A 26,029-nucleotide genomic window follows, 5' to 3' on the forward strand; every position below is an offset into this window, starting at 1 on the left:
AGGCCAGGGTGAAAGCAAGTATAAAAGCCCCCAGGCAGGAAAATATCCGCATTCAAGCAGCTAAAGGCAGGCCCCGGAGGGTCCCCGGCAAGAATGGTGGAGGAGGCTGGAGATGAGATAGAGGCAGGGTTGGACCACCTGGGCCTTATAAGCCAGAGGGAGCTGAGGTTTTTTTTTTACTCCAATGAGCAGCTATTAAAGGGTTTTAAGGGAGGGAGTGACCAGATCTGATTTACATTTTAAAGAGATTAGCACTGTGGAAAGTGTACTGTGGAGGTGGGGCAAGAGCTGAGAGCCGCATAGAGAGCCCTGGATACTTCTGGACTCTGAATGGGGGGCCAGGCTTCAGCGATGTAGGTGAGGATGGAGACAGGTGGGTCCAAGAGGACCTGTGGGTGGAGGGGCTGGAGGGGGAAAGGAAAGGCTGTTATCAAGGATAAATGGTGGTGATGGTCGTGCTGTTCTGCTCCTGAGCTGGGGAAGAAGGGAAGACATGAAGACTTCTGTTCAGACCCATTGAGGTACCCATGGCACACACACATGGAAGTGTGGAGAAGGCAGTGGAACATGTCAGTCTGGAGTGGGGGAGACAGGTCAGGGCTGAACGCCCCAGGATGCTGGAAGTGTGGGTGGCATCAGTGCACAACTCGTGTTTGAAGCCGCAAATCTCTGAGTTAGGGAGGAAATGGGAATGTGCTGTGACCCAGAAACTCAGAGGAAACTGCCCTTGTTGAGTCCCTGCTGAAGACAGAATGAAGACAAGACAGAGAAGGATCCTTTCTTTTTTTTTTTTGAGACGGAGTTTCGCTCTTGTTGGCCAGACTGGAGTACAGTGGTGCCATCTCAGCCCACTGCAACCTCTACCTCCCAGATTCAAGTGATTCTCCTACCTCAGCCTCCTGAATAGCTGGGATTACAGGTGCCCACCATGCCCAGTTAATTTTTGCATTTTTAGTAGAGATGGGGTTTCGCCATGTTGGCCAGGCTGGTCTCTAACTCCTGACCTCAGGTGATCCGCCCTCCCAAAATGCTGGCATTACAGGCGTGAGCCACCGTGCCCAGCGAGAAGGATCCTTTAGATCTGGTAATGCAAGTGGCTCCTGACTTTGACCAGAGCCCTCTGGGTAGAGGGAGGAATCTGGAAGTCAAATTGGGATGGGAAGGAAGAGTAAAACAGCACGATCACCAGTGCCTGGCCTCATCCCTGCCTGGGCTCTGGACTAAAAAACAGCTATGAGCCGGGTATAGTCCCAGCTACTTGGAGGCCAAGGCAGGAGGATGGCTTGAGCCCAGGACATTGAGGCTGTGGGTGAGCTACAATTGCACCACTGCATTCCAGCCTGGGTGACAGAGCAAGACCCTATCTCTGAAATAAAAAATATTTATACTTAAAAAAAATAGCTATATAGGACATTTTGGGGGCAAATGGGGAAATTGGAAAATGGACTCCATATTAAATAATACTTTTTTTTGTTGAGACAAGGTCTCACTCTGGCATGCAGGATGGAGTGTAGGGAGCTCACTGCAGCCTCAACTTCCTGGGCTTAAGTGATTCTCCAGCCTCAGCCTCCTAAAGTGCTGGGATTACAGGCATGAGCCACCACGCCTGGGCTGTATTAGATAATATAGCAGCTCTGAATTTGTTGTGTGTGATAATGGTGTGTGGTAAGAGAGAAACTCTGTAGGAGACACACATTGTAGTATTTAGGGCAGAAAGAGTAGATACTTGAAACTTTCCAGTGCTCCAACAATAACAAAAAATTAAACACATACCCCATACACAGAGAAAGCACAGATGGCAAAATGTTAATTGGAAAAATCTAGGTGAAGAATATTTTAATATTTTTTTCAACTCCTCTTTCAGCTTAATTATTTCCTTACAAAGTTGGGTGCAGTGGCTCACTCCTGTAATCCCAGCACTTTGGGAGGCCGAGGCGGGTGGATCACCTGAGGTCAGGAGTTCAAGACCAGCCTGGCTGACATGGTGAAACCCCGTCTCTACTAAAAATACAAAAAATTAACCGGCTGTGGTGGTGCATGCCTGTAATCCCAGCTACGTGGGAGGCTGAGGCAGGAGAATCACTTGAAACCCAGGAGGCAGAGGTTGCAGTGAGCTGAGATTCGCCATTGCACTCCAGCCTGGGCAACAAGAGCAAAACTCTGTCTCAAAAAAATTTAAATAAATAAATAAATAAATAAATTAGCCGGGTGTGGTTGCGGGCGCCTGCCTGTAATCCCAGCTACTCCGGAGGCTGAGGCAGGAGAGTAGCTTGAACACAGGAGGCAGAAGTTGCAGTGAGCTAGATCTTGCCATTGCACTCCAGCCTAGATGACAGAGTGAGACCCTGTCTCCAAAAAAAAAACTAAGTTGGGTGCGGTGGCTCACGCCTGTCATCCCAGCACTTTGGAAGGTTGAGGCCGGCAGATCACTTGAGGTCAAGAGTTCAAGACCAGCCTGGCCAACATGGTGAAACCCCATCTCTACTAAAAATACAAAAATTAGCTGGGCTTGCTGGGCACGATGGCTCACGCCTGTAATCCCAGCACTTTGGGAGGCCGAGGCGGGCGGATCGCCTGAGGTCGGGAGTTCAAGACCAGCCTGGCCAGCATGGTGAAACCCTGTCTCTAATAAAAATACAAAAATTAGCCGGGCGTGGTGGTGGGCGCCTGTAATCCCAGCTACTTGGGAGGCTGAGGCAGGAGAATAGCTTGAACCCAGGAGGTGGAGGTTGCGGTGAGCCAGGATCGCACCATTGCACTCCAGCCTCGGCAACAGAGCGAGAATCTGTCTCAAAAAAAAAAAAAAAAAAAAAAGAGGCCAGGCGCCGTGGCTCACGCCTGTAATCCCAGCAGTTTGAGAGGCCGAGGCAGGCAGATCACGAGGTCAGGAGATTGAGACCATCCTAACACAGTGAAACCCCGTCTCTACTAAAAATACAAAAAATTAGCTGGGCATGGTGGCGGGCGCCTGTAGTCCCAGCTACTCGGGAGGCTGAGGCAGGAGTGGCATGAACCCGGGAGGCAGATCGCGCCACTGCACTCCAGCCTGGGCGACAGTGAGACTCCGCCTCAAAAAAAAATTTTTTTTAATTTTAATTACAAAAAGGAAGGGTGACTAGCAGGGTCAGGAGAAAGTTTCATACAATTGATAAATTTTTTGAAGAATGGGAGCATGAGTGTGTGTTGAAAGCAATGCTCATGGAAGGGAGGAGGAGAAGGTGATTATGTCAGCCAGGGGTGAGAGGTGCAGGGCAGAATCCTGGAGGAGCAGGTGGATGGCCCAGAGTGAGGGCCTGGAGGGTGGCCTTTGCCCAGTGTGGGCGGCCACACGTCAGACGGGCAACTTGGTGGAGGGCGTTCCTGTCTGATGACTTCCCCTCTCTCCTCTACGTAGGATATGAGGCTCTCTGCTAAGAAGGGCCAGGAGAGCAATGGGGAGGTTCCCGCAGGGAAAAACTGGTGAGGTTTGTGGGTTTGTGTTGACGATCTGGGTGAAGATTGTTTATTGGTTTAGGGAGGGAGACAAGAGGAAAGATTAAGTCCCCACTCCTCCAAGACTCAGTTTCTCCATCTGTAACATGAGGAGATTGAACTAGGAGATCTCAAAGGACTCTGAACTCCTGTACGCTCATGGTCCCTTTAGGAAGTGATGGGAAGCATATACTGAATAGCACGAGCCTGGGTTATTTAAGAATTAAGGATAGCGGCTGCTCTGCCTATGGAGTAGCCATTCCTTTTTTTTTTTTTTTTTTTTGAGACGGAGTTTTGCTCTTGTCACCCAGGCTGGAGTGCAATAGCGCGATCTCGGCTCACTGCAACCTCCGCCTCCCAGGTTCAAGCGATTCTCTGCCTCAGCCTCCCATGTAGCTGGGATTACAGGCATGCGCCACCACCACGTCTGGCTAATTTTTGTATTTTTAGTAGAGACGAGGTTTCACCATCTTGGCCAGGCTGGTCTTGAACTCCTGACCTTGTGATCCCCCCGCCTCGGCCTCCCAAAGTGCTGGGATTACCGGCGTGAGCCACTGCACCCGGCGGAGTAGCCATTCTTTTATTCCTTTACTTACTTAATAAACTTGATTTCACTTAAAAAAAAAAGAATTAGGGATAGCTAGTAAAAACTAGACAATTGCCTAAGAGGTTTCTAATTGAGGATTAAAACCAATAAATACAAGAAGGCCAGGCATGGTGGCTCATGCCTGTAATCCCAGCACTTGGGGAGGTTGAGGTGGGCAGATCACCTGAGGTCAGGAGTTCGAGACCAGCATGACCAATATGGCGAAACCCTGTATCTAATAAAAATACAAAAATTAGCCGGGTGTGGTGGCATGTGCCTGTAGTCCCAGCTACTCAGGAGGCCAAGGCAGGAGAATTGCTTGAACCCAGGAGGCAGAGACTGCAGTGAGCCAAGATTGTGCCACTGCACTCCAGCATCCTGAGTGACAGAGTGAGACTCTGTCTCCAAAAAAAAAAAAAACCAAAAAACAAAAACAAAAAAACCAGTAAATACAAAGAGGCACATGAAAGGCAGACTGCTGGCCAGGCACGGTGGCTCACGCCTATAATCCCAGCACTTTGGGAGGCCGAGGCAGGCACATCATGAGGTTAGGAGAGTGAGACCATCCTGGCTAACACGGTGAAACCCCGTCTTTACTAAAAATACAAAAAATTAGGTGGGCGTGGTGGTGGGCATCTGTAGTCTCAGCTACTCAGAGGGCTGAGGCAGGAAAATCGCTTGAACCCGGGAGGTGGAGGTTGCAGTGAGCCCAGATCTCGCCACTGCACTCCAGTCTGGGTGACAGAGCGAGAATCCTTCTCAAAAAAAAAAAAAAAAAGAAAAGAAAAGAAAAAGAAAAAAAAGAGAGGCAGGTGTGGTGGCTCACACCTGTAATCCCAACACTTTGGGAGGCTGACGCAGGTGGATCACCTGAGGTCGGGAGTTGGAGACCAGCCTGACCAACATGGAGAAACCCCATTTCTACTAAAAATACAAAATTAGCCAGGTGTGGTGGCGCATGCTTGTAATCCCAGCTACTCGGGAGGCTGAGGCAGGAGAATCGCTTGAACCCGGGAGGCAGAGGTTGCAGTGAGCCAAGATCACACCACTGCACTCCAGCCTGGGCAACAAGAGCGAGACTCTGTTAAAAAAAAAAAAAGAAAGAAAGAAAAGAAAAAGAAAAGCAGACTGCTTAAGGCTTCAGAGCACCCCTGGGGGAGTGAGGAGGTGGCCCAGAGGCCGAAGGCTCTGAGATGCATGAGAAGGTGCTGTTTGGGTGAACACGGTGCGGGGTCCTTTTCAGAGTATATACTGCTTTCTCCTTGCTCTGGCTGAAGTTCACATCACACAGCATGAAGTGAAACAGCACATCAATGTGATGAACACGGTTAACACTGAAGAAACCTGTACGTGCGAGCAAATATAGCGTGAAAGGGTTCAGGGATTTCTTTCTTTCTTTCTTTTTTTTTTTTTTGAGACTGAGTCTCACTCTATTGCCCAGGCTGGAGTGCAGTGGCATGATCTCCGCTCACTGCAACCTCCCACCTCCCAGGTTCAAGCGATTTTTCTGCCTCAGCCTCCCAAGTAGCTGGGACTATTGGCACGTGCCATGATGCCCGGCTAATTTTTGTATTTTTAGTAGAGTCAGGGTTTCACCATATTGGCCAGGCTGGTCTCAAACTCCTGACCTCATGATCTGCCCACCTCGGCCTCCCAAAGTGCTGGGATTACAGGCAGGAGCCACTGTGCCCGGCCGTCCTGTTTTTTGGTGTGTGTGTGTGTGTGTGTGTGTGTGTGTGTGCACGCGCGCGTTTGAGAGGGAGTCTCCCACTGTGGTCCATGCTGGAGTACAGCAGTGCGATCTCGGCTCACTGCGACCTCTGCCTCCCAGGTTCAAGCAATTCTCCTGCCTCAGCCTCCTGAGTAGCTGGGATTATAGGCATGTGCCACCACGCCTGGCTAATTTTTTGTATTATTAGTAGAGACAGGGTTTCACTCTGTTGGCCAGGCTGGTCTTGAACTCCAGGCCTCAAGTGATCCACCTGCCTCAGCCTCCCAAAGTCCTGGTATTACAGCCGTGAGCCACCATGCCTGGCCAATAGTTTATTTTTATTTTTAAAGGGACAGGGTCTCCCTCTTTCACCCAGGCCGTAACCCTGAACTGCGAGGCTCAAACGATCCTTCTGCCTTAGCCTCCCAACTCCCAAGTAGCTAGGACTACAGGTGCACACCACCATGCCTGGCTAATTTTTAAATTTTCGGTAGAGATGGTATCCTGGTATGTTGCCCAAGCTGGTCTCAAACTTCTGGCCTCAAGTGATCCTTCTGCCTCAGCCTCCCAAAAGTGCTGGGATTACAAGCATTGTGCCACAGTGCTCGGCCAACAATAGATTTATAATATCACTGAGGGCAGGGATTGTGAGTCATCATCAGCTCCCCAGTGACTGGCAGCATGCCAGGAATGGGGGAGGTGAGAGAAGGAAGGAAGGGAGGCTTTTCGGCCTGACAGTTCAGCCAAGTGCAGGCACTGTCATGTTCATGGCCACCAGGCACCTGCCAACGACCAGGCTCTGTGCTGCCCACTTTACACAGATGGTCTCACTTGGCCTTGATGACAACCTGTGGAAGTTGGTATTATTTACTCCAAGAGGAAACTAAAGGCAGAGAGTTTAAATAACTTGCCAAAAGTCACATGGCAGAATCAGGATTTGAGCTCAGATATGTTAAACTGAAGCTTGTGCTCTTGACTGCCTGGCTGTGCAGTCTTCCAGAAGAGCACGGCATGGACTTCTGGAATTCTTGCAGCCACTCGACTCAAAAGCAGTTAGCATAGTGCTGAGCACAGGTAATAGGGCATTTGACAAATGCCAGTGACTGTAGACCGAATGATTGACAGTCTGAAAGAATGAATGAGTGAAGTGACTTCCTGTCTTGTGAGGTCTTTCTCTTCAAATGGAAGATTTCCCCATAGCCTTTGAATGCTCAATCTAATTAAGGCAAAAAGACATCAGAGAATTGCAGGGCCTTTCCTTTATTAACTGTCAAGTCCAATCTGGAGGCTGTTTACGTGCCAAGGTCAGAGATCAGTCTTTAGCTGCTCTCCTCTCATTCATCTGGCCAACCTCAGAACATAAAGTTTATTGATGCAAAACTGATTGGCAGGCTGGGCTAACGAGCTGGCGGGAACAGGGAGTATCAGAAAGAGTTCTAAGCCAGCGTCGGCTCAGCCCAGCTCCTTTGCTGTCCTAACTTCCCTGTGCTCTAGGTTGCAGGGTCGCACCTTTCAGAAGTGAACCCCAGAAGAGTAGCAAATGCTGCCTGGCCTTTTGGCAGTTCTTATGGAGCCCAATCAAGAGCTGGAGGGGAAGCAGTCCTTTTTCCTGGTTTTGTCTATTAATGTGGAAAGAGCGAGGCATGGAAGATTAGGTAGTATAGTCTTTTTTTTTTTTTTTTTAAGACAGAGTCTCGCTCTGTCACCCAGGCTGGAGTGCAGAGTGCAGTGGTGTGATTTCGGCTCACTGCAAGTTCTGCCTCCCGGGTTCGTGCCATTCTCCTGCCTCAGCCTCCCAAGTAGCTGGGACTACAGGCACCCCCCCACCATGTCCGGCTAATTTTTTGTGTTTTTAGTAGAGACAGGGTTTCACTGTGTTAGCCAGGATGGTCTTGATCTCCTGACCTCGTGATCCGCCCGCCTCAGCCTCCCAAAGTGCTGGGATTACCGGCTTGAGCCACCTCGCCCAGCAGTATAGTCTTAAGACTTCACAAATCAAAGCAATTCCCATGTAAGCCTCGTCAGGCCTGGGGGTTGTGAAGAGGAAGGTAACTGTTATGCCTACAGTTTGCAGCCAACCCATCAGTAAGCAGCGCCTGTCTGTGGGGAGCTCCTGGCAGTGCCTCCTCCTCCATGCCCAGCAGGAAAGAGGCTGGGAAGGATGCATGGGCCACATGCCTGGCTCTACTTGCAGTGCCCCCAGGATAAAAGCCAGGAGGCCGGCCGGGCACGGTGGCTCACACCTGTAATCCCAGCACTTTGGGAGGCCGAGGCGGGCAGATCACGAGGTCGGGAGATCGAGAGCATCCTGGCTAACACGGTGAAACCCCGTCTCTACTAAAAATATAAAAAAATTAGCTGGGCGAGGTGGCGCGCGTCTGTAATCCCAGCTCCTCGCTAGGCTGAAGCAGGAGAATCTCTTGAACCCAGGAGGCCCAGGTTGCAGTGAGCTGAGATCGCACCACTGCACTCCAGCCTAGGCAATGGAGCAAGACCCCGTCTCAAAAAAAAAAAAAAAAAAAAGAAAAAGAAAAAGCCAGGAGGTGGGCAGTCAGGAGAGGCAGGTGGACCCGGGAGCTGTGGCTTCTTCTACTCAAGATAGGGAAAGTACAACTCCCCTGGTTATTATCAGGACCAATTGATTTTGCCTGATCTGAGAAAACATCCTGACCACAGGTCACTTGAAATGCCCTGTAATTCAGAAACAGTGGCTGTCCACAGCAGACAGCTATCTGGATTTAAGACCCCAAATTCACACACCACACCACAAATTGTCCACTTACAAGCAAAAAATAACTAACAGCAGCCCCCAACCCACTCTCATTTTATTCCCTTGGTTCCAGGTCTCCTCTGAGCAGGTCATGTCTCCCGGTGTGTTTGCGTACAGGCTGTGGGGCTGGGGGGAAGGAGTCTTTTTTCCTCTTACCCCAGGCAGGACTGGCTCCAGGTTGCACAGAGCTCCACAGAGAAAACTGCTCACTGCAGAGAAGGGCAGGGTCCAGCCCAAGCTCTACTCTGATGAGCTCTGAGATCAGGGGTGGTGACTTCATCTTCTATCTATGGCTTGGAACAATGATGATGACCATGACCCTCCGGTTTCAGTTCAGTCAATGAATGGGGAGCAAATTGCTATTGTCAGGCACTAGGCTAGGGAGGTGATTCAGAAAGGCTCCCAGAGACCCACACACCAATCACTAAACTAATATAACACGCTAATGCTACATCTACAGTAGGGATAAAGTGTTTTAGGTACACAAAGAAGGGAGTTGAGAAAAGCTTCAGAGGTTTTCAAAGTGGTTTCCAGACCATCATCAGCCAGCCTCACCTGGAAAGTTGGTAGAAATACAAATATCAGCCCCACCCCAGACTGGCTGAATCAAAAATTCTGGGGGTGGGGCCCAGCAATCTGCGTTTGAACAAGCCCTCCAGGTGATTATGATGCAACCTAAAGTCTGAGAATCACGTAGAGGTTGGAAAACTACCTTGCAACCAGCAACCTGTTTTTGCAAATAAAGTTTTATTGGAACACAGCCATAATCCATCATTCAGATATTGTTTGTGGCTACTTCCCTTTTAACCAGCAGAGTTGGTAGTTACGACAGAGACAATATGGCCTGCAAAGCCTGATTCTGTCAAATGACTAGACTAGATTTCCCATACTAGGGAGCATAGCCTAGATTTTTTTTCTTTTCTTTTTTTTTTTGAGACAGAATCTCACTGACACGCAGGCTGGAGTACAATGGTGGGTTCTCAGCTCACTGCAACCTCCACCTTCTGGGCTCAAGTGATCTCCCAACCTCAGCCTGCTGAGTAGCTGGGACCACGAGCATATGGCAACATGTGCAACTAACTTTTGTATTTTTTTTTTTTTGTTAATTATTATTTTTTGAGACCGAGTCTCGCTCTGTCGCCCAGGCTGGAGTGCAGTGGCGGGACCTTGGCTCACTGCAAGCTCTGCCTCCTGGGTTCACGCCATTCTCCTGCCTCAGCCTCCCCAGCAGCTGGGACTACAGACGCATGCTGCCACGCCTGGCTAATTTTTTGTATTTTTACTAGAGACAGGGTTTCACTGTGTTAGCCAGGATGCTCTCGATCTCCTGACCTCGTGATTCGCCCGCCTCGGCCTCCCAAAGTGCTGGGATTACAGGCATGAGCCACCGCACCCGGCCCTGCATTTTTTTTTAAAGATGTAATTTTTTTTTTTTTTTGAGAGGGCGTCTAGCTCTGTTGCCTGGGCTGGAGTGCAGTGGTGCTGTCTTGGCTTACTGCAAACTCCACCTCCTGGGTTCATGCCATTCTCCTGCCTCAGCCTCCCAAGTAGCCGGGACTACAGGCGCCAGCCACCACACCCGGCTAATTTTTTTTTATTTTTAGTAGAGACTGGGTTTCATCTTAGCCAGGATGGTCTCGATCTCCTGACCTCGTGATCTGCCCGCCTCGGCCTACCAAAGTGCTGGTATTACAGGTGTGAGCCACCGCGCCCGGCCTAAAAGACATAAGTTTGCATGTTGCCCAGGCTGGTCTCGAACTCCTGGTGTCAAGTGATCCACTGCCTCGGCCTCCCAATGTGCTGGGATTACAGGTGTGAGCCACCACACCTGGCCTCTTTTTTTTTTTTTTTTTTAAGAGACAAGGTTTCAATATATTGCCCAAGCTAGACTCAAACTCCTGGCCTCAAGCAATCCTCCTGCCTCAGCCTCCTAAGAGGCTGGAACTACCGACAGGTGCACACCACTACGCTTGGCTCCTGTCTATGGCGGAGGTTGCACTGAGCAGAGATTGTGCCATTGCACTCCATCCTGGGCGATAGAGTCAAACAACAACAAAATCCCCTTAAGGCTCTTTCCTAGCAACCAAACGTTTTTCCATTTTGTTAGGAATGGGAAGAAGAGAGGAAATAACTGGCTAAGTAACTACTCTACATCAAGCACGGTTACAAGGCATTTTCCACCATTATTTCAATTTTAATGAAAGCTGCTCATGAAATTAGGTTTACTGGGTCACAGTTTTCAGATGAGGAACCTGGGACAGGTGAAGGGACAGAATTGGAACCCAGTTCTGTCACCATAGATGCCCCACCTGTTCTACACTGGCCTGTCAAGAATAACAATAATAAAAATTATTATTTTAGAGACAGAGTCTTGCTCTGTTGGCCAGGTGGATTGCAGTGGCACGACCTCGGCTCACTGAAACCTTCGACTCCCAGGTTCAAGCGATTCTCCTGCCTCAGTCTCCCGACTAGCTGGGATTACAGGTGCCCGCCGCCACGCCCAGCTAATTAAAAAAATATTTTTAGTAGAGATGGGGTTTCACCATGTTGGCCAGGTTGGATCTCAATCTCCTGACCTCGTGATCCGCCCGCCTTGGCCTCCCAAAGTGCTAGGATTACAGGTGTGAGCCACCGCACCAGGCCCAATGATTATTTTAAATAATAATAATAATTTTTTTTGAGACGGAGTCTCGCTCTGTCACCCAGGCTGGAGTGCAGTGGTGTGATCTCGGCTTACTGCAACCTCCGCCTTCTGGGTTCAAGCGATTCTCCTGCCTCAGCCTCCCGAGTAGCTGGGACTACAGGCGCCCGCCACCATGCCTGGCTAATTTTTTTGTATTTTTAGTAGAGACAGGGTTTCACTGTGTTAGACAGGATGGTCTCGACCTCCTGACCTCATGATCCACCCACCTCGGCCTCCCAAAGTGCTGTGATTACAGGCATGAGCCACCGCTCCCAGCCTTAAATAATTACTTTTATTTTATTATCATTATTTTTGAGACAGGGTCTCACTCTGTCACCCAGAATGGAGTGCAGTGGTGCCATCTTGGCTCACTGCAACCTCTGCCTCCCGGGTTCAAGCGAATTCTCCTGCCTCAACCTCCCAAGTAGCTGAAAGTACAGGTACGTGCCACTATGCCGAGCTAATTTTTGTATTTTTAGTAGACACAGGGTTTCACCATGTTGGCCAGGCTGGTCTCGAACTGCTGGCCTCAAGTGATCCACCCGCTTTGGCCTCCCAGAGTGCTGGGATTACAGGCGTGAGCTACTGCACCCAGCCTAATTACTTTGAAAAATGGGATCACAGGCCAGGTGCGGTGGCTCATGCCTGTAATCACAGCACTTTGGGAGGCCGAGGTGGGCAGATCACGAGGTCAGGAGTTCGAGACCAGTCTGGCCAACATAGTGAAACCCCGTCTCTACTAAAAATACAAAAAATAGGCCAGGTGTGGTGGTGTGCGCCTGTAATCCCAGCTAGTTGGGAGGCTGAGGCAGGAGAATCGCGTGAACCCAGGAGAAAGAGGTTGCAGTGAGCTGAGATTGCGCCACTGCACTTCAGCCCGGGCGACAGTGAGAGACTCCGTCACCAAAATAAAATAAAAAAAAATAAAAAGATCCTCTAGCCCAAATCCCTCCAACACAGAAGCAGTCGGAGAAGCTTGAAAAGGTTAGATGATAGGCCCATGTAGCTTGTCTGTGGAAAGAGCTAGGCTGCAAGACACCTCTGACTCCGTTGAGTGCTTTCTCTTACTCTCCTTTCCCGATTTAAGACATTAAATCATTTAAGACAGTGTCATTTGGTCGGGCGCGGTGGCTAACGCTTGAAATCCCAGCACTTTGGGAGGCTGAGATGGGCGGATCACCTGAGGTCAGGAATTCGAGACCAACGTGGCCAACATGGCAAAACCTCGACTCCACCAAAAAAAAAAAAAATTAGCCGGGCCTGGTAGCGCGTGCCTGTAATCTCAGCTACTCAGGAGGCTGAGGCAGGGAGAACTGCTTGAACCCGGGTGGCAGAGGTTGCAGTGAGCCAAGATCGCACCACTGCACTCCAGCCTGGGCGACAGAGCGAGACTCTGTCTCAAAAAAAAAATTTTTTTTTAAAAGACAGTGTCATTTGATGGAGTTGCTTTCTTGATCGTTGGCTGCAATGAAAGACCTAGCCTCACTGTCTTTTGTGTTGCCTTGGACCGGCTCTTAGGTTCTACTGCCCTAACAGGCAGTGGAGGCTGGCCTCGAGTGGTAGTCATCCATCTTGCCCTCTTTTCCTACCCTCTACCCCCAACCCCCGAGCTGCTCTCCTGTCTCCTTCCAACACTGTTCTCTTTGGGAATATGCATGTCCAACTTCCCAAGCAGTCTGGGATCTGGAGTAAGATGACTCTTGGTTTAATGGAGTTTTTCCACAGTGCTTGCATGTGCCCCAAGGGTTTGGAAGGTTGGAGAACTAACAAAAAGCAAAGCGCCATCCTGTGTCGTTTCGGCAGGTCTGTGTTCTGTTAAAATATGGAAGAATTAACAGAAGAACGAAGAAATAAGGGCAGAAACTCCACAGGGGAGTACTTGTCTAACCCTGAAAAAGTTCAAGGCTGTTGTTCAAGGTCTGAATTTTTCCCTTGAGATTTGCTTGTAGTCCTTAAAGTCATCTTCAGATCTATCTGATCAAGGCAGCATCCGCGGAAAATTATAAGGTGGGTGGCTGCACTGGAGCCTGTCCTGGCTCAGGGGAGCCGGTGAAGAGTGATTTTTTTCCCTTGGCGTTGGGGGATCAGAGGGGGTGCCCTCTGCTATGCAGGAAGCCCTCCTTGCCCACTAGATAGTTGTCATTCCTCAGGAGATACTCTGTGAGGGGCCGGTGTGTTTTCTCCATCTTGGCACTTACCCTCAGACCCTCCTAAATACCCGGGAGGGCCGTGTTTTTCATCGGAGGTTGAAATGGAACCTCCCCCTGGGTGCCCGGGGAGAGTACCTTGGGGGCAGCGCCCCTCCTTCCGGAGGGCAGCATCCCGGCGGGGGCGGGGGCTCGGCTTTGATGCCAGGGCACCTTTTGTCCCTGGAGACGCTCTGCCAGCCAGGTGCGTGGAGGGAGTGCAGCCCGCCCTCCGGGGCGACGCGCGGGGCTGGGGCGGGCCGGCGGCTCCGGGGAGTGGCGGTCGGGAGCCCGCGAACGCGGGTGGGCGCCGTCGCCTCACTAACCGGGCGCCTCCGGGAAATCCGGGCGGGGTCCGCCGCTCGCACATAGGATTAGCGTCCTCTAAACTCCATCCCTGGGAAAAGCCGCCGCACTTCTCACCCAAACTCGCGGAGCCGAGGGGTTGGGCAGGGGTTGGGCGGGCGCGGGGGCCGCCGAGGCGGATCCGGGAACGGGTGGACCCGGGCGGCCAAGCCTCTTCAGCGCCGGCCCAACCGCCCCGGCCCGGGCCAGTCCAGCGGGGCGGGGGCTGGTGACACAAAGGCGGCGGCGGGTCCTCCGGGCCTCCGACCTCGGGCAGTCGCAGGACGCCCCGGGCCGCCTGACCTTCCCTGGCGTCGCGGCCCGTCCGCCGGCGCCGCCCGTCGCCCGCCCTCAGCCGTCCGGCGAGGTGCGGCCTCCTCAGCCGGCGCGGGGTGCCCTGGTTAACCCCTGCCCGGCAGCGCGGCCGCTGATTGGAGGAGGCGGGGCGCCGGGGCAGCGGGGACCCCCCCCACTCCGCACTTTCCTCGTCCCCTCCCCCTCCTCTCCCACTGTCGGCGCTTCCCCCACCCCCCAGGACCCCCCCTGCCTCCCAGCCGTGCAAATCTCGCGAGGAAACACGCGGTTTCACTAGTGTGTTTACACCGATCAGTACTAATCCGGACCGAACCGATCCGGATTAAGGGGCCGGAGGCGGGTCCTGGGCACCAGCGGTTCCGACCCACCCCGGCCCTCCGCGCCGCACCCGAGTGGCCCCCAGCCGAGCGGGCCCCCACCTCCTGGCCCGGCCTGGGCCCTTCTGCGCCTCCCTTGGCCTTTGTCCAGCGCCAGGAGGCCGGTCCCGCGCCCGCGTCGGGCGCCTGGCTCTGTACGCGAGCCCGGGGATCTGCGGCCTTCGTGCCCCCCCTCCCCCGCCCGCCCTTTCGTGGAGCCCGGCGCAGGCGGCTGCTGCCCGGGCGGGGGGTTGCGGCGCTCAGGGGAGGCCCCGGCTCCGCCCCGGGCCTGCCCAGGGGGAGAGCGGAGCGGCCCGCAGCCGGGTCGGGTCGGGGCCCCTCCCGGGAGGAGCGTGGAGCGGCGGCGGCGGCAGGTGAGAGGCTGAGCCCCGGGCGGGGGAGGGCGCCAGGCCTGGGGCATTAACCGTCCCGGGGACCCTTTTGGCCTGAGGAGCCTGCGACCTGGGCCCAGCTCGGTGTCGGCTCCGGACCGCAGCTCCTGGGCGCTGAGGCGGGAGGGGCTCCCTGAGGGCTGCGGGTCGCTGAGGGGCCGGGCAGAAGATGGGGGAGGCCCAGGCGGCCCCGGCCTGGGATTGGGGCCGGCGGCCGGAGGAGAGACTGGGGCCCCTCGGCAGCTGGAGGCCTCGGCAGCCTCCCGGGCGCCCCCGAGAGCCGGCCCTCCCTTCCTCCGTGACAGGTGGGCCTGGAGTTGGGGAAAGTTTGGAGCCGGCGAGGGGCGCCGGGACCAGGCCCCATCGCTCCTGCTTCCTGGCTGTGGGCTGCAGGGAGGATCCCAGTCCAAGGCCCCGCTGGAATTAGACGGAGTGGCTATTTCCTTAACATGAGTTGGCATTAAACGGAATAACCGCCGGGGCGTCATTTTCCGGGCCGGGCCTGGGGAATGGAGGTTTGGTAAGTGTTGCGAGAGACCTTGGGGTTTGGGAGAGACTGCAGCCTCTGCCATTCCGACCTCGACCTCGACCTCGATTAGGGCAGGGCAAGACGCAAGGAAGGCCACGGGGGAAACTCATTCTCCCAGTCTCTTTTTTTCCTTCTTTTTCTTTTTGCGAAGATGCATTTCAGCCTTTCTGAGAATTTCCTAATTCTCTCTCTAACCTGCACTTGCATGTGTGGGTGAAACTTTAATTTGTCACCTTTTCATTCCCCTTTGCCCCAGGCTCTCAATCCAGGAAGGGAAATGAAATTGAAGGACTTGTAAGGGGGTTGTTACTGGAGATTGTAGAGTTGTTGGATTGCAGAGGAGAATGTTCGATTCATCTTTTCAGTAACTTTAAAATCACACCAACCATTCCAACTACTTAATAATGTGTTCGAAGGGGTTCTATGTAATATGTTTCTTTTCCACTGTTAATATTAAAGAGAGGTTTTCAATGGGTTGTGTAGGAGTTGGTCTCTTGCAAAGGATGGACATATTTGCTGAAAGTAGCCTGTGCATTAATTGGTTATGGAAGTTTAAAAATGGTGTCCTCCTGCCCCTCCCTGCTTGGAAGAAGGGCTAAAAGCAGATGTCCAGAATCAAGAGAAAACTAATGCAGGGAGTGGTCAGAAAAAGATTTTTTAAAGGGATTGTTATGGAGCTATATTAATTTACTGAGTGAATGGAGGTGGATGGTTTTACCATGGGCTCTCTATTAAATTTAAAATAATTCCTTTTCTCATGAGCTACTGTGAGCTCTTCAGAGAAAGGAGCTGTATAATAGTGTTTTTGCAGTTATTTGTAGCTTCTGATTCATCCTGTATTCTTTTGAAATTATTGTCAATGATTCATATTTTTAGTTTAAGGACTACTTCCTGAGTGGGAAATAAATATCTGAAGATACTTAGCTAGATTCGAAGGCTGATAGAAGGAATTTTCTTTTTGCAGGCTAGTTCTTGTTTTGTTCTTTCCCCTGTGCTCAACTTTTGCAGAGATTATGTGAAGGGTTTGAGGGGTTTATTTTTGCTGTTAAAATCAAATCAGAACCAGGGAAGAATAAGTGGCTGTCATAGAAGAGGACTTCTGAGCTGCTTTAAAACTTTTCAATATATTACCGTTTGATGCAGCACATAGTAGTCTACCACTTGTATGCTATATTTACTTGAGATTTACCTGCATTTGATCTTTCAGTGAAATAATTACTGTGAGTTTTGTTCTACAAAAAATTGCCTCCTCACATTTTAGTGTTTATGGTTTCACAGCCTACTCTTTCTTTTTCAGTAGAAATAATGGAAGAATTGCATAGCCTGGACCCACGACGGCAGGAATTATTAGAGGCCAGGTTTACTGGAGTAGGTGTTAGTAAGGTGAGTAAAATGATGATAATGAACACTATTCATATTCTAGTTTAAACACATTTTTTAAATGATTAAGAGCAGTTTGGGTAGGCCCTTCTGATAGTTTGCAGGGGAGAAGATTTGGGTCTTAATTTCAGTGAACTTTTAGATCCTACTAGTCATTCCAGTAGTCATTTAACATGGTAGGTTTGAAAATGTTCTTTATGGGAATATATGTTTCTTCTTCCTTTCTGGTATAGGAGAGGTTTCTCATGGTTCTTGTTACAAGGAAACTAACAGGATGTGTGTATAGATTCTATGCCATATTTTGTTAAAATTTGTCAGCCATTCAGAAAGAAAATTACAAGGCATTGCATAGCTTTGTTACATTGGACTTTGGAGGTAGTTACATGGCAGAGTATTGAAACATTGGCCTCTGTGAAGTCTGCAGACTCTTTACTGGTTGCACCCCCAGACTGGTTTGTTGCTCTTCTCATTCTTCCTTCTTAGTTTTTATTTTTGTTGCAGGAGCATAATATTAGATTAGGCCCCCATTAACGGGCACGTATGAAGTTAAGCAATGTTATAGTTTCCTATGCATGTTTATGTACCCACTGGTCCACCCCTCTGCTCTCATAGGATGATTTTACAATGTGTAAAATGTTTGATTTTAATACAGTACGCAAAGTATATTTACAATATTTTATTTAAAAGCTTCATTGGTCCAAGATCATATTACTTGGGCTTGAGATGTGTGAACGTATGAGCTACTGATTTTTTTTTTTTGAGACAGAGTTTTCCTCTTGTCACCCAGACTGGAGTGCAATGGTGTGATCTCGGCTCACTGCAGCCTCCACCTCCTGGGTTCAGGTGATGATTCTCCTGCCTCAGCCTCCTGAGTAGCTGGGATTACAGGCACCCGCCACCACGCCCAGCTGATTTTTGTATTTTTAGTAGAGACGGGGTTTCACCATATTGGCCAGGCTGGTCTCGAACTCCTGACCTCAGGTGATCCACCTGCCTCGGCCTCCCAAAGTGCTGGGATCACAGGCAGGAGCCACTGTGCCTGGCTGAGCTTTTGATCTTTAACCAATGTGATACAACATTTCTTTCTGTGCTTTTCAAGAAATCCTGTCTCGTGGCAACCTGGGTGTTGATCTCGTGCTTTAGTTAGTAGCTTCTCCAAGGAGAAGGCGTGTTGAGGTTTAGTTGGAAAAATGGGCTTCTTTGATGGGTCTCAAGTTTTGGTGAGCTGGGATAGCTTGATAGGGTTTTTTTTTTTTTTTTTGAGACAGCCTTGCTCTGTCACCCATGCTGGAGTGCAGTGGCATGATCTCGGCTCACTGCAACCTCTGTCTCCTGGGTTCAAGTGATTCTCTTGCCTCAGCATCCTGAGTAGCTGGGATTACAGGCATGCACCACCATGCCTGGCTAATTTTTTTATTTTTAGTAGAGACAGGGTTTCTCCATGTTGGCCAGGCTGGGTCTCGAACTCCTGACCTCAAGTGATCTGCCTGTCTTGGCCTTCCGAAGTGCTAGGATTACAGGCATGAGCCACCACGCCCAACCAGCTTGATAGTTTTTGTTTATCCAACAAATATTGAGCACCTGCTGTATGCTAGGCATTGTGCAAGGTGTTAGGGCTGATGCTTGAGCACAGTACCTCCACATCTGCAGTATGGGGAGAGAGAGATGACACCGTGATGAGATCTGTATTAGAGCTGTGACAAGGTGCTGTGGGAACACAGGATTTGTTACATATTCTTAATTTCTTTGGCCACTTAAACAGTTTACTTTTGTGGCACTTTAGAGTGGCTGTGCCCCTGGACGTTGTATATTGAAGTTACATTTACAAATGTAAACTCTCTGATCTAGGTGAAGTAGCTTCAAGTAGAAGTGAGCAATATATTTGAATACTAAATTGATCTATAAATGACCTCTGATGTGTCTTTTTAACTTGAAGATTGAGCATAAGGCTAATATCCAGATCTGTCTGTTTAAATGGTCCCCCCACCCCCGCCTCCCGTAAGTCAGTAAGTTTGTATTCAAATTTTACATAGTTTAAGCTCACTGATCTTTGGATTAGGGTTGTTGTTCTGTTTTTAGGTTTGTGATGGCTGTATCCAAGTATACTTTTGATGGAGTAGGGCATAAGTGATAAGAATGAGTGACATTCAACATGTTGCTGTCTAGACCCAACTTAAAGTCATGTAACTAAGGTATCAGAAAACTTTAATACAGTAACCTATCTGTTTAATAGGAAATTCTACCTTTAACATAGAAAGAAGTTCTCTGTACAGAAAAAGAAATTTACCTATTTCCAGTTTTTTTGTTTGTTTTTGAGAGGTCTCACTCTCTAGCCTAGGCTGGAGTGCAGTGGCACGATCTCGGCTCACCTCAACCTCCACCTCCCAGTCTCAAGCGATTCTCCTGCCTCAGCCTATAGATAGCTGGGATTACAGGCGTGCGCCACTACCACCCTGTTAATTTTTGTATTTTTAGTAGAGATGGGGTTTTACCATGTTGGCCAGGCTGGTCTTGAACTCCTGACCTCAAATGATCCACCTGCCTCTGCCTCCCAGAGTGTTGGGATTACAGGCATTAGCCACTGCACCCAGCTTTATTTCCAGTTGTTTTTATTCCATTAGTGTTTTTTTTTTTGAGACAGAGTTTTGCTCTGTCGACCAGGCTGGAGTGCAGTAGCACGATCTTGGCCCACTGCAATCTCTGCCTCCCGGGTTCAAGCGATTCTCCTGTCTCAGCCTCCTGAGTAGCTGGCACTACAGGCACCTGCTACCATGCCCAGCTAATTTTTGTATTTTTAGTAGATGGGGTTTCACCATATTGGCCAGGCTGATCTCGAACTCCCGACCTTGTGATGTGCCTGCCTCGGCCTCCCAAAGTGCTGGGATTATAGGCGTGAGCCACTGTGCCCGGCTTAAGTAGTCGTATGTTATTTTGATATTTCCAGTCATGGTAAGTATATTGATTACAATGAATTTGTTATTTGAGGACTAGCAGGAGAGTATTTTTTTTTCCATAACAAAGAAACTTGAAGAAAAAAATTAATTCTGTAGTTTGCAGAGCCGGGAAAAGAAAATCTCCATTTTGTATGACTTTTTTTTTTTTGAGACAGAGTTTCACTCTTGTTGCCCAGGCTGGAGTGCAATGGCGCGATCTCAGCTCACTGCAACCTCCGCCTCCTGGGTTCAAGCAATTCTCGTGCCTCAGCCTCCCCAGTAGCTGGGATTACAGGCACGTGCCACCACGCCCGGCTAATTTTTTGTATTTTTAGTAGAGATGGAGTTTCACCATGTTGGCCAGGCTGGTCTCGAAATCCTGACCTCAGGTGATCCACCCACCTCGGCCTCCCGAAGTGCTGGGATTATAGGTGTGAGCCATCGCGCCCAGCCTTTGTATTACTTCTTTTACCAGTAAGACATTGTACCTCTCAGACTATTGATTTGAAATGGGGGTGTGGAGGGGATGATGATACTGGGAGAAAAGGGTGCTTTTGGAAAAACTCCTCTCCCTGGCTTTGAATTCTCATTTCGGATCATTATTTCCCAATGAGAACATCACCGTGTTAGGGCCAGGCACGGTGGCTCACGCCTGTAATCCCAGCACTTTGGGAGGCTAAGGCAGGCAGATCACGAGGTCAGGAGATCGAGACCATCCTGGCTAACACGGTGAAACCCCATCTCTACTAAAAAATACAAAAAATTAGCCGGGCTTGGTGGCGGGTGCCTGTAGTCCCAGCTACCCGGGAGGCTGAGGCAGGAGAATGGCTGAGCCCGGGAGGCGGGGCTTGCAGTGAGCCTGGGCGACAGAGCAAGGCTCCGTCTCAAAAAACAAAACAAAACAAAAATAGAATATCACTGTGTTGATGACAGCTTTGTTTTTCAAAGATCAAAAAAGATTTCAGCCCCTGCAGCTCCAAATAAGAGAGCAGAGTGACTTCCCTGTGATGGTGCCATCTAGTGGGACTGGTTCAGCCTCTTGGGCTGTCTCTGGAATTTCTTCTAACTATTCATAACATTTTTCAGTACTTTTTGATGTCCATAGAAGGAAGAAAGTCAGTGCCACTGTGGATTCTTTCCTAGTGGACAAGAGTGTTACAAGTAGCTACAGTCTTTGAACTTTCTGGTTGTTGTAAATCTTCTGTTGTATAACTTTCGAGTTTTTTCCACCTGCAAATTAGATATACACTCCATTACTTAGACTAAAACAAAATGGCCAAATCTCCACATCTATTACTTATATTTAACTTGCTCATTGCCTATATTTAGGTTTTTAATTTTTTATTTCTAATTTTCTTGCATAGTGCAAATTTTTAATTTTCTTGCATAGTGTGTTTATAGGTAGGTACTCAGTTTCTCAGCATATTTACTTCAAAATAATGGTAAAACAAAAGTCATTTATTTTGGGGTTTGGGATGCACTATTTGGTTTATGTTTAAAAGAGTGACATTTTCTGTCATGAACTGATGAGGGGAAAGTAGTGTAATGTGCACCCAAAAGTCTATAGCAGGCTCCCTAGTCTAGCTGCCCCTTTTTAGGAGGACCTGGAGCCATCGTCTTAGCAGTTTTGAGGTGATAAGGTTAAACTGGGTTGTGAACCTAGTAATTTTCAGTTTTTTTTTTTTTTTTTTTTTTTTGAGACAGAATCTCACTCTGTCGCCCAGGCTGGAGTGCAGTGGCGCAATCTCTACTCACTGCAAGCTCCACCTCCCAGGTTCACGCCATTCTCCCGCCTCAGCCTCCCGAGTAGCTGGGACTGCAGGTGCCCGCCACCACACCCGGCTAATTTTTTGTATTTTTAGTAGAGATGGGGTTTCACCGTGTTAGCCAGGATGGTCTCGATCTCCTGACCTCGTGATCTGCCAGCCTTGGCCTCCCAAAGTGCTGGGATTACAGGTATGAGCCACTGCACCCTGCTGCTAGTTCTTTATGTCTTGTTGACCTGACATGTGAGCTGTCCTACCTCTTTTTTTTTTTTTTTTTCTTTGAGATGGGGTCTCGCCCTGTCACCTGGGCTGGAGTGCAGTGGCGCGATCTCGGCTCACTGCAGCCTCTGCCTCCGAGGTTCAAGCGATTCTCTTGCCTCAGCCTCCCCAAGTAGCTAGGACTACAGGCGTGTGCCACTATTCTCAGCTGATTTTTATATTTTTAGTAGAGACGGGTTTTTGCCATGTTAGTTGGCCAGGATGGTCTCTCTCTCGACCTCGTGATCCGCCCGCCTCGGCCTCCCAAATTGCTGTGATGACAGGCGTGAGCCACCCCGCCTGGCCTGTCCTACCTCTTTTTTAAGACCTCTTCCTGTAAGCACTGGATAATCTACTTCTAGTAATGTGAAACTGACTATATCTTGAATTCATATGTTTTCAATCAACCTGTTGCAGTTTATATTTCACACCCTGCTCCCTTTTGACAGTTTAAGTACAGATAGTCTCAGCAGTTCTGGAGACCATGTAAAGTAGGCAGAATTTCACCCTTGCATGCATTGTTACTTGTACCTAGTTGAATATCAATGCTAATACAGTAGCAAATACTTATAATACTGTGTGCCAGTTACTGTTCCAACAGTACAACAAAAGCAATAAGAAGTGAATTTAGATCTTTTATAACAGGGATAATGGTTAACAAATCTGTACGTAATCAACTCACTGGATTAATAGGCATTCTCCATTCTCTCTTTATAAGCCATACTGACTGATGCTTATCACATTGCTCCCACCAGTTGAATTATAGCCATGTCAATGATCATTTTACAGTAACTTAACACTTGTGTTGTAATTATTCAATTTAATACACAATTGCATAAAGCAATGAAATATGATTGCAGGCCGGGCGCAGTGGCTTATGCCTGTAATCCCAGCACTTTGGGAGGCCGAGGCGGGCAGATCACGAGGTCAGGAGATCGAGACCGTCCTGGCCAAAATGACGAAACCAGTCTCTACTAAAAATACAAAAAATAAGCTGGGCGTCATGGCATGTGCCTGTAATCCCAGCTACTCAGGAGGCTAAGGCAGGAGAATCACTTGAACCAGGGAGTCGGAGGTTGCAGTTAGCCGAGATTGTGCCACTGCCCTCCAGCATGGGCAACAGGGTGAGACTCTGTCTCAAAAAAAAAGTAAGTCAGCAAGGAGATATCTGTAAAAATTTATGATATTCTTTTAATCTGCAGGAATTCTTTACTTAAATCCTTGGCAAGTATCTTTTTTTGTTTTTGTTTTTGTTTTTTGAGACAGAGTTTCACTCTTGTTGCCCAGGCTGGAGTGCAATGGCGTGACCTCGGCTCACCGCAACCTCCGCCTCCCAGGTTCAAGTGATTCTCCTGCCTCAGCCTCCCAAGTAGCTGGGATTACAGGCATGCACCAACACGCCCGGCTAATTTTGTATTTTTATTAGAGATGGGGTTTCTTCATGTTGGTCAGGCTGTTCTTGAACTTCCGACCTCAAGTGATCCGCCTACCTCAGCCTCCCAAAGTGCTGGGATTACAGGTGTGAGCCACTGCGCCCGGCGGCAAGTATCTTTTAAGTTCTCACTTTTTTTTTTTTTTTTTGGAGAGTTTCACTCTTGTCGCCCAGGCTGGCGTGCAGTTGCATGATCTCTGCTCACAGCAATCTCCACCTCCCAGGTTCAAGCGATTCTCCTGCCTCAGCCTCCCGAGTAGCTGGGAGGTGCCCGCCACCATGCCCAGCTAATTTTTGTATTTTTAATAGAGACGAGGTTTTACCACGTTGGCCAGGCTGGTCTCGAACTCCTGACCTCAGGCGTTCACCCGCCTTGGCCTCCCAAAGTGCTGGGATTACAGGCGTGAGCCACCGTGCCGGGGCCAAGGAACTCTTTTTCTATCTTTTATAAATTTTTAAGTCTGATACATCACATTATGTAATCAAATTGACTTCTGAAAAGGTATTTAACTAACTGATACCTTTCTTTTCATGTAGTTCGTTGCAGCAATTAGAAGCTTTCAGTCATGAATATCTAGTGTCAGCTTTTTCACATACCAAAGTCACTTTCATTTTTTAAAAATGTTTGTATGTCTTAGATTTAATTACATGCCTGACAATGCTCAATAAGCATGAATGCTGAGAAATGGCCTATACTTATACTGATGCATTTTAAGGAACTGTGGATTAATTTACTTTAGTATTTATTTGATTCCCTCCTTATTTCACATGTAGTCAAGTACCAACACGTGCCTCTTTCTCTGAAATTTCTGAAGTGTTTTTCTGCCCCCATTGCTACTGCCTTAATCCAGACTGTTTTTATTCATAACTTGAAATTCTAGTTTGGAAGTCTTGCACCCTTTCTGTTCTTCTATTGGTTACCACAGAAATTACAACACATATTTTTAACTTATAAAGGTTAATGTTAATACCTTTGTCTTCCTCTTGGTCAGTACAAGGGCCTTGAAGATTTTTTTTTTTTTTTTTTTTTTTGAGATAGGGGGTTGCTCTGTCACCCAGGCTGGAGTGAAGTGGCATGATCATGGCTCACTGCAGCCTTGACCTCCTGGGCTCAGGTGCTCCTCCTGCTTCAGCCTCCTGAGTAGCTGGGCCTACAGGCACACATCACCACACTTGAATAATTTTTGTAGTTTTTCTTTTTATAAATTAAAAAAAAAATGCCTTCCATCAGCATCTTGCAAATTTTTGTATTTTTTGTAGAAACTTGGTTTTGCCATGTTGCCCAGACTGGTGACCTTGAAGATTTAACTCCATTTATTCCCCTCACAATTCACACGCTATTGCTGTTCTGTATTTAATTGTACGTATGTGTGTGTGTAAATTTTTTTTTTTTTTTTGAGACATGGTCTCACTGTGTCACCCAGGCTTGAGTGCAGTGGTGCGATCTCGGCTCACTGAAACCTCTGCCTTCTGGGCTCAAGTGATTCTCCTGCCTCAACCTCCTGAGTATCTGGGACTAAAGGCACGTGCCACCATGCCCGGCTAATTTTTGTTTTTTTGTGTTTTTAGTAGAGATGGGGTTTCACCATGTTGGCCAGGCTGATCTCGAACTCCTAACCTCAGGCGATCTGCCAGCCTTGGCCTCCCAAAGTGCTGGGATTACAGGTGTGAGCTACCATGCCCAGTCTGTATATTTTCTAGAGCACTTTTAGGTTTATAGAAAATTGAGCAGCTAATGCAGAGTTCCCATATACTTCCTCACCCTACTTTCTCATTATTCACATTTTGCATTATTACAGGTGTGAGCTACCATGCCCAGGCTGTATATTTTCTAGAGCACTTTTAGGTTTATAGAAAATTGAGCAGCTAATACAGAGTTCCCATATACTTCCTTACCCTACTTTCTCATTATTCACATTTTGCATTATTAGTGTCTTTGTTACAATTGATGATACATTATTAACTAAAGTCCATTGTTCACAGTTGTCTACTGGCTTCCATTAGGCTCTTTATTTATTTTTATTTTTATTTTTTTGAGATGGAGTCAACTTGCCCAGGTTGGAGTGTGGTGGCGCGATCTCATCTCACTGCAACCTCTGCCTTCCAGGTTCAAGCAATTCTCCCTGTGTCAGCCTCCTGAGTAGCTGGAATTACAGGCGCCCACCACCACGCCCGGCTGATTTTTGTATTTTTAGTAGAGATGGGTTTCACCATGTTGGCCAGGCTGGTCTTGAACTCCTGACCTCAAGTGATCCACCTGCCTTGGCCTCCAAAAGTGTTGGGATTACAGGCGTGGGCCATCACACCCGGCCAGTTACAGAATATTCTCAGCCGTTATCTTGTCATATATTGCTTCTGTCTTATTCTGTCTTCTCTGGCATGCTAAACATATACTAGACCTTCTCATTGTGTTTTCTCTGCCTCTTACCCTGTCTCTTGTATTGCTTGTCTTTTTGTTTTCTTATCTAAATACTTGGTAGTTTCTTGTGACCTATCTTCCACTTGATTAATTTTCTCTTCAGATTTGCCTAATCTACATAAACCTATACGTTGAAATTTTATAAAAGCTGAGTCACTCTTATCCTGAGGGTGTAGCCCATGGGTCTTCTACTGTATGGGGTGGCTTTCCCACACTCCCCTCATTGGGCAGGGCCCGGGCTTTGACTTTCTTCTCTCCCTATACTCCCAGGCCTCTTAAATTATAGCTTAATTTCATAGATTTTTCTTTTTCTTTTTCTTTTTTTTTTTTTTGAGATGGAGTCTTGCTCTGTCACCAGGCTGGAGTGCAATGGCATGATCTCAGCTCACTGCAACCTCCACCTCCTGGGTTCAAGCGATTCTCCTGCCTCAACCTCCCAAGTAGCTGGGACTGTAGGCACGCGCCACTGCACCCAGCTAATTTTTGTATTTTTAGTA

General features: G+C 48.7%; 2 annotated features.

Annotated features, from left to right (window-relative positions):
* Nucleotides 14,322-14,871: a silencer, noted in NCBI's record as "silent region_18609". NCBI's record gives its function as "represses an Ori minimal core promoter by ATAC-STARR-seq in GM12878 lymphoblastoid cells {active_cell/tissue: GM12878}" and the evidence as "EXISTENCE:reporter gene assay evidence [ECO:0000049][PMID:35858748]".
* Nucleotides 14,982-15,101: a silencer, noted in NCBI's record as "silent region_18610". NCBI's record gives its function as "represses an Ori minimal core promoter by ATAC-STARR-seq in GM12878 lymphoblastoid cells {active_cell/tissue: GM12878}" and the evidence as "EXISTENCE:reporter gene assay evidence [ECO:0000049][PMID:35858748]".

Source organism: Homo sapiens, chromosome 7 (assembly GCF_000001405.40).
Source record: "Homo sapiens chromosome 7, GRCh38.p14 Primary Assembly".
Taxonomy (NCBI): Eukaryota; Metazoa; Chordata; class Mammalia; order Primates; family Hominidae; genus Homo; species Homo sapiens.